The sequence below is a fragment of the Homo sapiens genome, chromosome 16, assembly GCF_000001405.40.
Source record: "Homo sapiens chromosome 16, GRCh38.p14 Primary Assembly".
NCBI classification, from domain to species: domain Eukaryota; kingdom Metazoa; phylum Chordata; class Mammalia; order Primates; family Hominidae; genus Homo; species Homo sapiens.
Window position 1 is genome coordinate 33802321 of NC_000016.10, and position 13761 is coordinate 33816081.

At 43.3% G+C, this 13761-nt stretch overlaps 2 pseudogenes; both read left to right on the forward strand.

Moving 5' to 3' along the window:
• On the forward strand, window positions 602-895 carry IGHV3OR16-12 (immunoglobulin heavy variable 3/OR16-12 (non-functional); annotated as a pseudogene).
• Window positions 6440-8444, forward strand: LOC342443 (ADAM metallopeptidase domain 21 pseudogene; annotated as a pseudogene).

Genomic DNA, 13761 nt, shown 5'->3' on the forward strand with positions numbered 1-13761 from the left:
CCCAGATAATAGGACTAAATTTGTTTAGATGTATAAACTTAGATGCACTGCACAACTGCTGTATTCTCTATGTAAATTATATTCTGTAAAATATAACATTGAAAGCTGCATTAAATATATTGTGTAAATATGTAAAAATAAAATCAGATTATGAGAGCTAAATGTTAATCAAGGCACAATCACATAATATAAAATTATATTTTCCTGAATGATGGAATTACTACCAATCTCCCCCAGGACACTTCATCTGCACGGAGCCTGGCCCTCTCTTCAGATGTCCCACCCCAGAGCTTGCTATATAGTGGGGGACATGGAAATAGGGGCCTCCCTCTGCTGATGAAAACCAGCCCAGCCCTGACCCTGCAGCTCTGGGAGAGGAGCCCCAGCACTGGGATTCCGAGGCTTTCTATTCGGTGATCAGCACTGAACACAGAGGACTCACCATGGAGTTTGAGCTCAGCTGGGTTTTCCTTGTTGCTATTTTACAAGGTGATTCATGGAGAACTAAAGAGATTGAGTGTGAGTGAACATGAGTGAGAGAAACACTGGATATGTGTGGGAGTTTCTGACCAGTGTCTCTGTGTTTGCAGGTGTCCACTGTGAGGTGCAGCTGGTAGAGTCTGGGAGAGGCTTGGCCCAGCCTGGGGGGTACCTAAAACTCTCCGGTGCAGCCTCTGGATTCACCGTCGGTAGCTGGTACATGAGCTGGATCCACCAGGCTCCAGGGAAGGGTCTGGAGTGGGTCTCATACATTAGTAGTAGTGGTTGTAGCACAAACTACGCAGACTCTGTGAAGGGCAGATTCACCATCTCCACAGACAACTCAAAGAACACGCTCTACCTGCAAATGAACAGCCTGAGAGTGGAGGACACGGCCGTGTATTACTGTGCAAGAGACACAGTGAGGGGAGGTCATTGTGCGCCCAGACACAAATCTCCCTGCAGGAACACAGGGTGGAATCAGCTGCAGGGGGCGCTCAGGAGCCACTAATCAGAGTCAGCCCCGGAGGCAGGTGCAGATGGAGGCTGATTTCCTGTCAGGATGTGGGACTTTCTCTACTTCTTAGTTTCGCCAGGGAACCTCTCTAAGTTTAGAATTCTTTGCCTAACAATGTCTTCGCTAAGTATTTGAAGGAGATTATTTTAATATGAAGAGCTATTTTCACATGCACAAAATGCAGATTGATGCTTACAGGGATGAAAAGTCCATCAATGATAGACTGGATTAAGAAAATGTGGCACATATACACCATGGAATACTATGCAGTCATAAAAATTGATGAGTTCGTGTCCTTTGTAGGGACATGGATAAAGCTGGAAACCATCATTCTCAGCAAACTATCACAAGGACAAAAAACCAAACACCGCATGTTCTCACTCACAGGTAGGAATTGAACAATGAGAACACATGGACACAGGAAGGGGAACACACCAGGGCCTGTTGTGGGGTGTGGGGAGAGGGGAGGGATAGCGTTAGGAGATATACCTAATGTAAATGATGAGTTAATGGGTGCAGCACACCAACATGGCACATGTATACATATGTAACAAACCTGCACATTGTGCACATGTACACTAGAACTTAAAGTATAATAAAATATATATATATTATATATATATATATATATATATATATATATATATAAAGTCCTCAAACATGGTCACCACGATCAGAGCCCTGAGTAAGCTCAGGGTTTCCTGATGAGTCTTCTCCAATCAGACCCAGGACAGGGACCTCAGTGAGCCTCCATGACTGGAACAGTCTTTACAGATCCTGATCACAGACGATAGAGGCTGGGCCAGGGTCAGTGTCATGTAGAACCTCACAGGTTTCACGTCTGATCCTTCTTCTGACACTAAATATGCAAATCAGCATCAACACTGATCTGGTGCTTCTTTTGTTCCTAATCCATTTACTTCCTTTTTCAGTCGTTGTTCTCATTTTTCCGTTTGCTTTTCCTGCTTTCTGGAAAAGGAAGATGTTTCCCTGTGGTCAAAATTCCAGGCCTCAAGCCCTTTCCTGGCGCTCAGGTGGGTCTCAGGCTGTGGCTGCTGCAGTCACGCGGGAGAGGCTGGTGGGACTTTCTTCACTCCTCGTCACTCAGGACCCTCCACTGTGTTGCATGGAGACTTATCTGGAAATGCAAGTTGCCGGTGGGAACTGAAGGGGCCAAGCTTGTTTGGTTAATGTGGGATGTGGATGTGGAGCTAATCCTGTTCTCAGAAACCTTCACAGAGTAACTTTCTTCACTAGCGGTGTGAGGAAGAGGGTGTGAAAGTTGTCAGAATCAAAATAGAACAACTTGAGTTATAAACTTTACAGGTGAAGCTGGAGAAGGTCATGAACAGAGGGTTCTCATGCACACATCCTTGATAACAAGAAGTACCATAAAAATACTCTGCACAGCCGGGTGTGGTGGCTCACACCTGTAATCCCAGCACTTTGGGAGGCCAAGGTGGGCAGATCACCTGAGGTCAGGAGTTGGAGACCAGTCTGGCCAAGACGGTGAAACCCCGTCTCTACTAAAAAATACAAAAAACAAAAAATAGCCTGGCATGGTGGTGTATGCCTGTAGTCCCAGCTACTTGGGAGGCTGAGGCAGGAGAGTCGCTTGAACCCCGGAGGCAGAGGTTGCAGTGAGCCAAGATTGTGCCACTGCAGTCCAGCCTGAGTGACAGAGTGACACTCTCACACACATGCACGCACACACACACACACAAATTATCTGCACAACTACAACCTTGAACAAAGGCTAAGGCTACCACAACAATAAGAGAATTAATACTGTGGGGATATCTGCCCTGCCACTCCCTGTCCAACCTTAAACTTATTCTACCCTTGTTATTGATTCTTCTACCCCCGGATAGTTGTCTCAAAACAGCTCATGTAAGCCTCCTCATTTATCCTTTAAAACACTTGTCTTCCTCTATCTACCTAAATGTGCCCATGCATATTCCCATTACAATGCTCATTTTCAACTAAATATTATTTGATTTTGGAGAATCTCTTTCTCTCTGATATTCAGGTGTGACAAGGTGCAGAGGGACATGCCACTTTCCTGTGAGATGTAGGGGATGACAATTTTGGGGGATGGCTGGAAACCTCCAATATCCTCAGGGCTGGCCATCAGTAAGTGCAGGCTGGAAGTCTCAGAAAGAGCTGAAGCTGCTTAATCACCCTGGAGTTTTACCTTCTCCAGATCTGCTCTGTTGGATTCAGGGCTAAGCTGGTTATCCATGATAATCTACCTAACATAGAGTCAACTGGTTACAGTTTTAATAATGTCTATTGAAAAATTCACACCACCACCCGGATTAGTGTTTTGTCAAATCAATACAAATTATTGTCCAGCCAAGTACACCATATGACAGATCATTAGCCATGGAGGAAAACATTTAACCTGAGTTCTAGGTTCTTATACTGTTAAAGGTGTAAAACCAATTATTTTAAAATCAGGCTATTTTTATTTTTGCTATTGAGTTATGGAAGTTTTATTTATATATTGGATATAAACACTTTTTCAGATACATGGTATATTATCCAATTCTGTAAGTTGGAATTATTTCGTTGCTTTGCAGAATCTTTTGTAAATTCTGGTCCCACTTGTTCAATTCTGCTTTTTTTGTACGTGCTTTGAATGTAAAATCCAGAAAAAGATTGCTAATTTTTTCAGGGGTGGGAGTTTTATAATTACACATATTACATTTAAATATTTAATGCATTTAGAGTTAATTTTTGTGTTTATTCTATCCTAAAATTCTTAATTCTTTGCATGTGAAAATCCAGTTTTCATAACATGCTCTTTGGAAGACACTATAATTTAGACATTGTATATCACTGGTTCTCATGCTGAAAATCAGCTGGCCATCAATATGTGGGTTTATATCTAAGCTCTCTGTATGCATTTATGCCAATACCATTCTGATTTATTACTCTATGTTTATAATAAATTTTCAGGCCTGGAAGTGTAATACCTCAAGCTTTATTCTTGCCTTGTTTCAGATATTAGACCAAAATATTCTAACCTTTTACTATTGAGTATAACAATAGCTGTGACTTTTCTTAATGGCTTTTATTATGTACAAGTTGTTTTGCTGTCTTCCTACTTTGTTCAGAGTTTTTATAATGAAACCCTGAATTTTTTCAAATGTTTTTTCTATGTCTGTTGAAATGCTATTGAGATATTTTTTCTTTAGTTTTTTAATGTGGTGTACCAAATTGATTGATTTGAGGAGACTGAATCATCTGTGCAACTCAGAATAAATTTGAGTTGATCATGGTGTATGGTTTTTAAAAAAACTTTAGAACTTAGTTTACTAAATTTGGAGTGGTTAATTTTTGTCTACCAATGATATTGATCTATAATTTTATTTTATTGTGGTGCCTTTGTCTATTAATGGTAATATTACTGGTAATAGTGTAATGGTAGCCTCAGAAATAGTTTGGAAGGTTGACTTTTCACAAATTTTTGAAAGAGAGAATGGTTAGCATTACTTCTTTAAATGTTAATGCTCATTTTATGATGTAACATATAACCTATCATGGAGAATGTTCAATCTGTGCTCGAGAAGAACGTGTATTACATGGCTCTTGGTTCGAAGGTTCTATAACTGTCTTTCAGGTGAATTTGTCCAATAGTGTTGTTCAAATTCAGAGGCTTAAGAATTTTCTTTCTGGATTTGCTAAACATTATTGTAAGTGAGGTATTAAGGTCTTCTCTTATGTTTATATTGTTTTCTATTTCTCTCTTTATATCTCTTAAAGTTTGCTTAATGCAGTTGTATTTGAATTTGTACACATGTGTGAAAAATAATAATTGCTAAGTGAGTTTCATGGTACAGTCACATTATAAGTAATCATATTTTCCAAGTGCTACTGTTGCCAATGAACTCCTCCAGGTGTCTCACATCTGCTCTGGGCTCTGCCCTCTCCTCAGGCATCCCACATCACAGCTTGCTACAGAAGAGAAGGCAGGAAAACAGGGCCCTCTCTCTCCGAGTGAAAATAAGCACAGACCTGACCCTGCAGCTCTGAGAGAAGACCCACAGCCCTGGGATTCCCAGGGGTTTCCATCTGGTAATCAGGACTGAACACAGAAGACTCAGTATGGGAGAAATACACGAAATATTTGTTCTCAGACATGAGACACCCACAGAGGGCCCCCTGTGTCCTTCCCTGAGAACTGATCAGCTCTTGCATCTGAAGAAATGACCAAAGACCAGGAGAGAACCATACAGAAGCATCGGAGGGACAGCACCTGGGGCTCTCATGGGGTCAGGAATAGCGTCTGTTCCCAATAGATGGACTAAGTAAAAAGTATCATAATTCTCAAGGGTTTAACATAGCACAGAAGAAAAAGTTACCCTATACCAACTGTTGATCTTGTGAACCCAGGAACTCTGAGACAGATCTCAGTTAATTTAGAAAGTTTTCTTTGCCAGGGTTGAGGACACACCTGTGACACAGCCTCAGGAAGTCCTGATGACATGTGCCCCAGGTGGTTGGGCACAGCTGGATTTGCACATTTCAGGGAGACATGAGACATCAATCAATATAAGTAAGAAGGACATTAGTTCCATCCAGAAAGGCTGAGACAACTCAAAACAAGTCCTCCCCACTCAGGGCTTCCAGGTCACAGGTAGGTGACAGACAGATGGTTGCATTCTTTTCAGTTTCTGATAAGTGTTTGCAAAGGAGGCCATGAGAATATGCATCTATCTCTGTGACCAGAGGGACAACTTTTAATAGACTGGAAGGCAGATTTGCCCTGAGTGGTTCCCAGCTTGACGGGGCCCAAGATATTTTCCTTTCACAATCTGGTAACTTCAAACAAAACTTCAAAGCCACAACAAAATGAAACAACAACAAAAAGAATAAGACATGGGTACTTATTAAGAGTAGAAAAATATTCAATCCCCAAGGAAAATATTGGCAGTATCTACCTCCACGTGACGAAGGAGTAAGCAATGTGAGCCACAGAAAGGAGCACTATTAACCCACAGAGTGACCGAGAATAACATGGGTGATGCGAGGGCATTGAACACACATCATTGTATTTTGTAGATTCAGAAAGCAACAGAAAAGATTGACAGTGGTAAAAGAGACAGAGCCCTGCTTCCCTCTCCCTTTTCCCTTCCCGATGAGCCCTCACAGCCATGACCCTCAGCCTCATCCTGCAGTGCAGCAGCTGCCATCCTGTCCAGGCCCGCCCCCTGCCCCGCCCTGGGACTGTTACCTTATTCTCTCCCGGAGTCCAGGTGCCCCAGCGTGTGGTGTGGGAGCCTGGGGAGGCCCTTTGTTCTCTGTCAGGGTCTCCCTGGGAGGGACGCAGCCACCGCAGCTGGTTGGGGCCTGGCTTTGCCGAGGACAGTCCTTTCCTTTCCCATTGTCTTTGGATGACTATCCCTGGGCTGGGACATGAGGCAGGCAGAGGCGCGGGTCACCCTTAGGGCCCCCCTCTTGCTGCTGGGGCTCTGGGTGCTCCTGACTCCAGTCCGGTGTTCTCAAGGCCATCCCTCGTGGCACTACGCATCCTCCAAGGTGGTGATTCCCAGGAAGGAGACGCACCACGGCAAAGACCTTCAGTTTCTGGGCTGGCTGTCCTACAGCCTGCATTTTGGGGGTCAAAGACACATCATTCACATGCGGAGGAAACACCTTCTTTGGCCCAGACATCTGCTGGTGACAACTCAGGATGACCAAGGAGCCTTGCAGATGGATGACCCCTACATCCCTCCAGACTGCTACTATCTCAGCTACCTGGAGGAGGTTCCTCTGTCCATGGTCACCGTGGACATGTGCTGTGGGGGCCTCAGAGGCATCATGAAGCTGGACGACCTTGCCTATGAAATCAAACCCCTCCAGGATTCCCGCAGGCTTGAACATGTTTCTCAGATAGTGGCCGAGCCCAACGCAATGGGGCCCACATTTAGAGATGGTGACAATGAGGAGACAAACCCCCTGTTCTCTGAAGCAAATGACAGCATGAATCCCAGGATATCTAATTGGCTGTATAGTTCTCATAGAGGCAATATAAAAGGCCACGTTCAATGTTCCAATTCATATTGTCGTGTAGATGACAATATTACAACTTGTTCCAAGGAGGTGGTCCAGATGTTCAGTCTCAGTGACAGCATTGTTCAAAATATTGATCTGCGGTACTATATTTATCTTTTGACCATATATAATAATTGTGACCCAGCCCCTGTGAATGACTATCGAGTTCAGAGTGCAATGTTTACCTATTTTAGAACAACCTTTTTTGATACTTTTCGTGTTCATTCACCCACACTACTTATTAAAGAGGCACCACATGAATGTAACTATGAACCACAAAGGTATAGCTTCTGTACACATTTAGGCCTATTACACATTGGTACTCTAGGCAGACATTATTTATTAGTAGCCGTCATAACAACCCAGACACTGATGAGAAGTACTGGTGAGAAGTACTGGTGATGATAACTACTGCACATGTCAGAAAAGGGCCTTCTGCATTATGCAGCAATATCCTGGGATGACAGATGCGTTCAGTAACTGTTCTTATGGACATGCACAAAATTGTTTTGTACATTCAGCCCGGTGTGTTTTCAAAACACTTGCTCCTGTGTATAATGAAACCATGACAATGGTTCGCTGTGGAAACCTCATAGCGGATGGGAGGGAGGAATGTGACTGTGGCTCCTTCAAGTAGTGTTATGCCAGTTATTGCTGCCGAAGTGACTGTCGCTTAACACCGGGGAGCATCTGTCATATAGGAGAGTGCTGTACAAACTGCAGCTACTCCCCACCAGGGACTCTCTGCAGACCTATCCAAAATATATGTGACCTTCCAGAGTACTGTCACGGGACCACCGTGACATGCCCCGCAAACTTTTATATGCAAGATGGAACCCCGTGCACTGAAGAAGGCTACTGCTATCATGGGAACTGCACTGACCGCAATGTGCTCTGCAAGGTAATCTTTGGTGTCAGTGCTGAGGAGGCTCCTGAGGTCTGCTATGACATAAATCTTGAAAGTTACCGATTTGGACATTGTACTCGACGACAAACAGCTCTCAACAACCAGGCTTGTGCAGGAATAGATAAGTTTTGTGGAAGACTGCAGTGTACCAGTGTGACCCATCTTCCCCGGCTGCAGGAACATGTTTCATTCCATCACTCAGTGACAGGAGGATTTCAGTGTTTTGGACTGGATGACCACCGTGCAACAGACACAACTGATGTTGGGTGTGTGATAGATGGCACTCCTTGTGTTCATGGAAACTTCTGTAATAACACCAGGTGCAATGCGACTATCACTTCACTGGGCTATGACTGTCGCCCTGAGAAGTGCAGTCATAGAGGGGTGTGCAACAACAGAAGGAACTGCCATTGCCATATAGGCTGGGATCCTCCACTGTGCCTAAGAAGAGGTGCTGGTGGGAGTGTCGACAGCGGGCCACCTCCAAAAATAACACGTTCGGTCAAACAAAGCCAACAATCAGTGATGTATCTGAGAGTGGTCTTTGGTCGTATTTACACCTTCATAATTGCACTGCTCTTTGGGATGGCCACAAATGTGTGAACTATCAGGACCACCACTGTTAAGGGATGGACAGTTACTAACCCTGAATAAGACTAATTCAGCCTCCTGATCCCTGTAAAGATACAGAGACTATAACAGCAAAATCTATGGAACAGCATCAAAGGAAGGGATGGCAAAGCTCAAGTCCACATTTCTTGAAGTCCACAGGAGGCACAGGGTCCTGTCTCACATCATGGGGGAAACGGGAGGTACTGGCTTCTGTCCAGGTTCTTGTAGGTCACTGATGCTCGCTCTGAAATAAATCTTCAAAAACACATTTTGGTGCCTTCCACATTTTCTTAGACTCCCCTGGGATCCCAAACTTGGCCAGAACCTCTGGCCTGGAGAGACCTGAGTGAGCATCTGGCTCTTGATCTGAGGTTGCTGGTCCCAGAATTAATGGAAGTTGCCACCAGCTCCTTACAGGGCACATTCATGACATTTCTCTAGAAGAGAACTCCAGAGCAATGAGCTTCCTCATTCCCCAGGTAGTCTGTCCTTCTCTAAACCCGAAGTCAGTTTAGGGTGATCCAGGGCTACTCCCTGTTCCCTGTCTGTTCCTCACGGGGGTGCTGTGGGCTTTGCAGTGAGAGGAACTTGGGTTCAAATACCCCACCAAGCAAATCCCCCTACCTGGGGCCAAGCTTCCCGTATGTGGGAAAATGAATCCCTGAAGTTGATTGCTGCATGCAATGAAATTCAACTAGAAAAATAGGTAGATGTGCGGGGCAAGCTCTCTGGCATTTAGTGTGAGCTCCGTGAGTGGCAGCTGCCCCCTTCCTTCCTGCCCCCACAATTCCTTGAACTGAAATGGGAAGGAAAGCTGAGTAAGTCGTGATGAGGAAGAGAAACCAGGCTTGTAGCAGCACAGGCTGGTCCAGGTGTAAAACAGGGCTAGGTGTGTCGCTGAGTTATTGTAAAGGAAAATGGAAGTTAAATGTATAAATAACCGAATGAGATAACATTTTATTTTAAATTAAAATTCACAATAATATTGACTTTTAAAATGCAGTGTAGGTATGTCACAGAGAATTTCAAAGGCAAAGCCCACCAACGGAAGAAATCACCCTTCTCATACCATCCACAGAAAACCGCTCATATTCTAGGGTAGTACTGAGATCTAGCATTTTTCTGAATACATCTGTGGTTCTAGATGTTCTGCTTCCATAGATATTGTTTAGAATTCCCACCCCTTTCTCCAAACACAGCTTGATATCCTTTCTCTGAACCTGCTTAGAAATTTCCTCCATTCAGCTGTCATAAAGATGTGAGCAATCCATTCCTGTGCCTCTCTCAGTGTATTCTATTATTTTGTGGGTGAACGCTAATGGACAGTGAGTGTGAGGTCAGTGAATACAGCCCTCCACCTGTGTGTCCTTCGGGTGTGAGGGGTTTTGCTGATAGAGCAGCAGGCCCCGTCCCACCCTTTATGCATCTCTGCCCCCCACCTCGTGCTCCAGCTGACCTCTCCCCTGTGGCATGGGGGGTTCCCTGGGGGAATGACCTCCCCTCTCTCCAGGGCCCACCCACTCAGTGCCCATGCAAGACCACCGTGCTTGGCACAGCCCCACCTTGTGTCAGGGCCTGTGTCTCCTGCCCCACCCCCTAAACAGATGGGAACCGCTGAGACACTGCTCAGGGCAGGGGGCGGAGGTATGTGCAGAAGGAAGGCAAATGTGCACTCTGTTGGAGAAATATTATAGGTAGTTTGAGCAAAAAATCTAATGCCATGTGAACTTTTAGAATGATACATATTTTAACAAAGATTGCGACCAATAGAGTTCATATTGAAGTCAGGTAAACACTATTTAGAGCAACAACAATATCAAAAACACAAGCCAACAGTTCACCAAGAGAAACCACCATTAACCCCATGGAAATGGTCTTTCAAGAACATCAGCACTTAAATCCTCCAAATCTGCCTGCCTCAGCACCTGTTGTCTTGAACTGTCCTTCTGTGTGTTCTAATCACTCCTAAACATGGGGCCTGCACTGTGGGAGATCCAAGCTGTGCCAGGTGGAGGGAGCAGGACAACTGTTACCAGGTTGTTTGTGTGGATGCCGAGGCCACCCGAGCAGGTGTAAACTCCCACCTGTGGGCCAGAGAAGAGAGCACAGGAGACATGTCCTGGGCATAGGGTGAGGGAGAGCTGTGGGGGCTCTGGGTTCTGAGGAGGGTTCTGGCCTGGCAGGGACAAGACCAACCAGCACGTGAGGCCAGGCTGGAGTCTGGACCTCTGAGGCTGCAAGGGTCATGGGCTGCTTGGCCCAAGGGGCTGTCCTGGTTCTCTAAGGAGTAATTTCAAACATTCCTTCTTCCTCCCATCCCTCTCCTTCTCTCTTTCTGGGGTGGGTCCACTCCCAGAGCCTGCAACTCCCAAATCCTCTTTGATGGGTCCTCGGCTTCACTCTGCATCCGTCCTGAGCATCGATCTTCCAATTCCATCCTCTTCTCCTCTGCTGTGTCTAAGCTGCTGTGAAGCCACCTGCTGTAATTTACTGTTTTATATTTAATATTGTAGCATACATCTGTTCTGTTTCCTTCATCATAAATGCTTCATTTCATGCTCAGCATCTGAGAACACAAGGCCTTGTCAGCTGTCACCTCCTTCCATTCTCTGTTTCCTTCCTCCTATCCCCATGTTTGCTCATCATGTCCAGTCTCCTGCCATCCTGAACGCTTCTGATGGAAGGTCCGAGATGTCTCATGAGCATTGTGAAAATTCTTTGTAATGTGACATTGTTCCAGGCAGGAATTCTCCCTCACCCACCCCGGAAGTCAAGTATAGGCAGATTGCCATGCTCAATCAAAGGCTGAGCTAACTTAACAGTGGCTTTGGTTTTAAGGTTTGTCCAATCCCCAGGGCACAGGATTTCAGGAAGTTCAGGTGACAGTCTGGGTGTTACCCTTCAGGAGGTTGTAAAGTCCATTTCACCTAGTCTATACCACAGACTATGGAAACTATATATATATATATATATATATATATATATATATATATATAGTGCTGTCCCTCTAGAGAACCCTAATATGTATATATAATATATATAACATGCCCTGTCATTAAGATCAATGGGAAACTACAACAGTATATATATATATATATATATATATATATATATAATATATAAAATATATATATAATATAGATAATATATACTATATATAATAGTATATATACTATATATAATATATTATTTATGTATTATATACATTATATTATATTATATATGTATTATATACATTATATTATAATATTATATATGTATTATATAATATATTAATACCTTGCTAATCGTAGGTTATGGAAAGATTGCGTTTCTGTTTTAAGGCTCTGTTAGAAATTACTGGCGCACACACTATATTGTAAATTCTTATCTCTGTGCACTGTACTTCTACATACAAATGTTATGTTAAAGAATTACTTCATCCCCATGTCACCATCTCACCTCATAATCAAATGACCCTAAATCCCTCACTAACCTACCCCCACCCTCACTAAAACTTAATAATAAATGCTGGTACATCCAGTGCATTGTTGGCACTGTGGGACCAGTAGGTGGTGACCCCCCTGGACCCAGCTTTCATTGTCTTGTGTGTGTCTATTATTTCTCAACCTGCCAATCCGCCTGGGAACAAAGAGAGAGCCCCATTGCATTGTGGGCTGCTGGCCAGATCCCGCAATACATAATTTCCTCATTTGCAAAGTTACTTAGGTCAGCAATTTCATTTTCAACTTTCTTCAGTAAAGTCATTTCAATTACACTGTATAATTTCATTTATTTGAAATTCAGTAAAAGCCCAAACTATAGCCAAGTAAACAGATAGAGGATATTCCAGGAATTTAGAGAAGTGGGTATAAAATAAGCAAAAAATATACTGTTTAAGAAGAGTAAAACTGTATTTAGTCATATGCCATGGTTGAGATATGACACAATTAATTTGTCTAAGATCATAATTTTGTGATAAAAATACAAAACCAAATATATACAATTTAAAAAAAATATTTAGCAGTTCATTAAACCTTGGATTAAATGCAGACTGTATAAAATTATCTAACAACATATTTGTGAGTGTGGGGATGTCAGGAGATGCATGAAACTAAGAATGAAATAATTTTCCTCATTTTCATATAAGATGCTTCCATTCACTAAAGATCTTTTATTTTAAAAAATCAATTTTCTACATTAGCCAGGTTTTTTATTAATGACAAGCAAATAACCCAGAAGATTATTTTCTTTCCTTGGTTGAGAAAGATTTTCCCCAAACTTCAGCTCAGTTCAGGCATATGCTGTCCCTGAATGAGCATTTACCCTCAGATGGGTACACACATCTGTCAACATATGGACCCTTCTGTCAGACAAACACACCTTTACTCATGTGGATTCTTCCCTCAGACAAACACACATGTCCTCACATGAACTCTTTCCTCAGACTACCACATATGTCCTTACATTTACTCTTTCCTCAGAAAAAAGACATTTTCTAATGTGGACTCCTGTCTCAAACAATCAGATATGTCTCCATGAGAACTCTTCACTCAGATACGTACATGCATTTCCACATTTTTTCCTTACACAAGTACATATATCTAATGTTGAACTGTTTGCTGCAAAATGATCTCAAGATAATGAAAATTATAAACCCCAACCCTGAAATGCATTTTTTGCATTGTAATTATAATTTTGCATTGTAATTTAACTTTGCCTTATTGTCAAGAACAGTGGTTTGCAGCTCCAAAAGCACTGATTACTGACAGATGTCCATTTTCTCTGGAAATGTATTCCTCATGTTCTTACTGGACTTATTTGTTGATAATGTTTGCAACTATGAAGATTCCTCAGCAGTGCCCACATTAGAGAATAAGAAAGAGTAATGGGCAGATTAACCCTGTGCATCCAGACCCGGGCATACTTTGACCTTGGCCTCCCTAAAATGCAGACCAGAGGATGGATGAGCAATGCTGAGTTGTGCACACATGACCACAAAAAGACGTGGAAATGTGTCTCCTCCCCTCCTCATGAAAGGCAGCTCATCCCCGTTCTTTCAGGCCTGGTGAGGAGCCACCCCATGTATGTTCCCTTCCTCAGTGTCCACACCATGAGGTCTGGATCTGGGATTCCCTTCTCATCACCCTCAATATTATGGTCCCTTGTGAATCAGGTCCAGCTGTGGCTGCTCCTCATGGGCTCT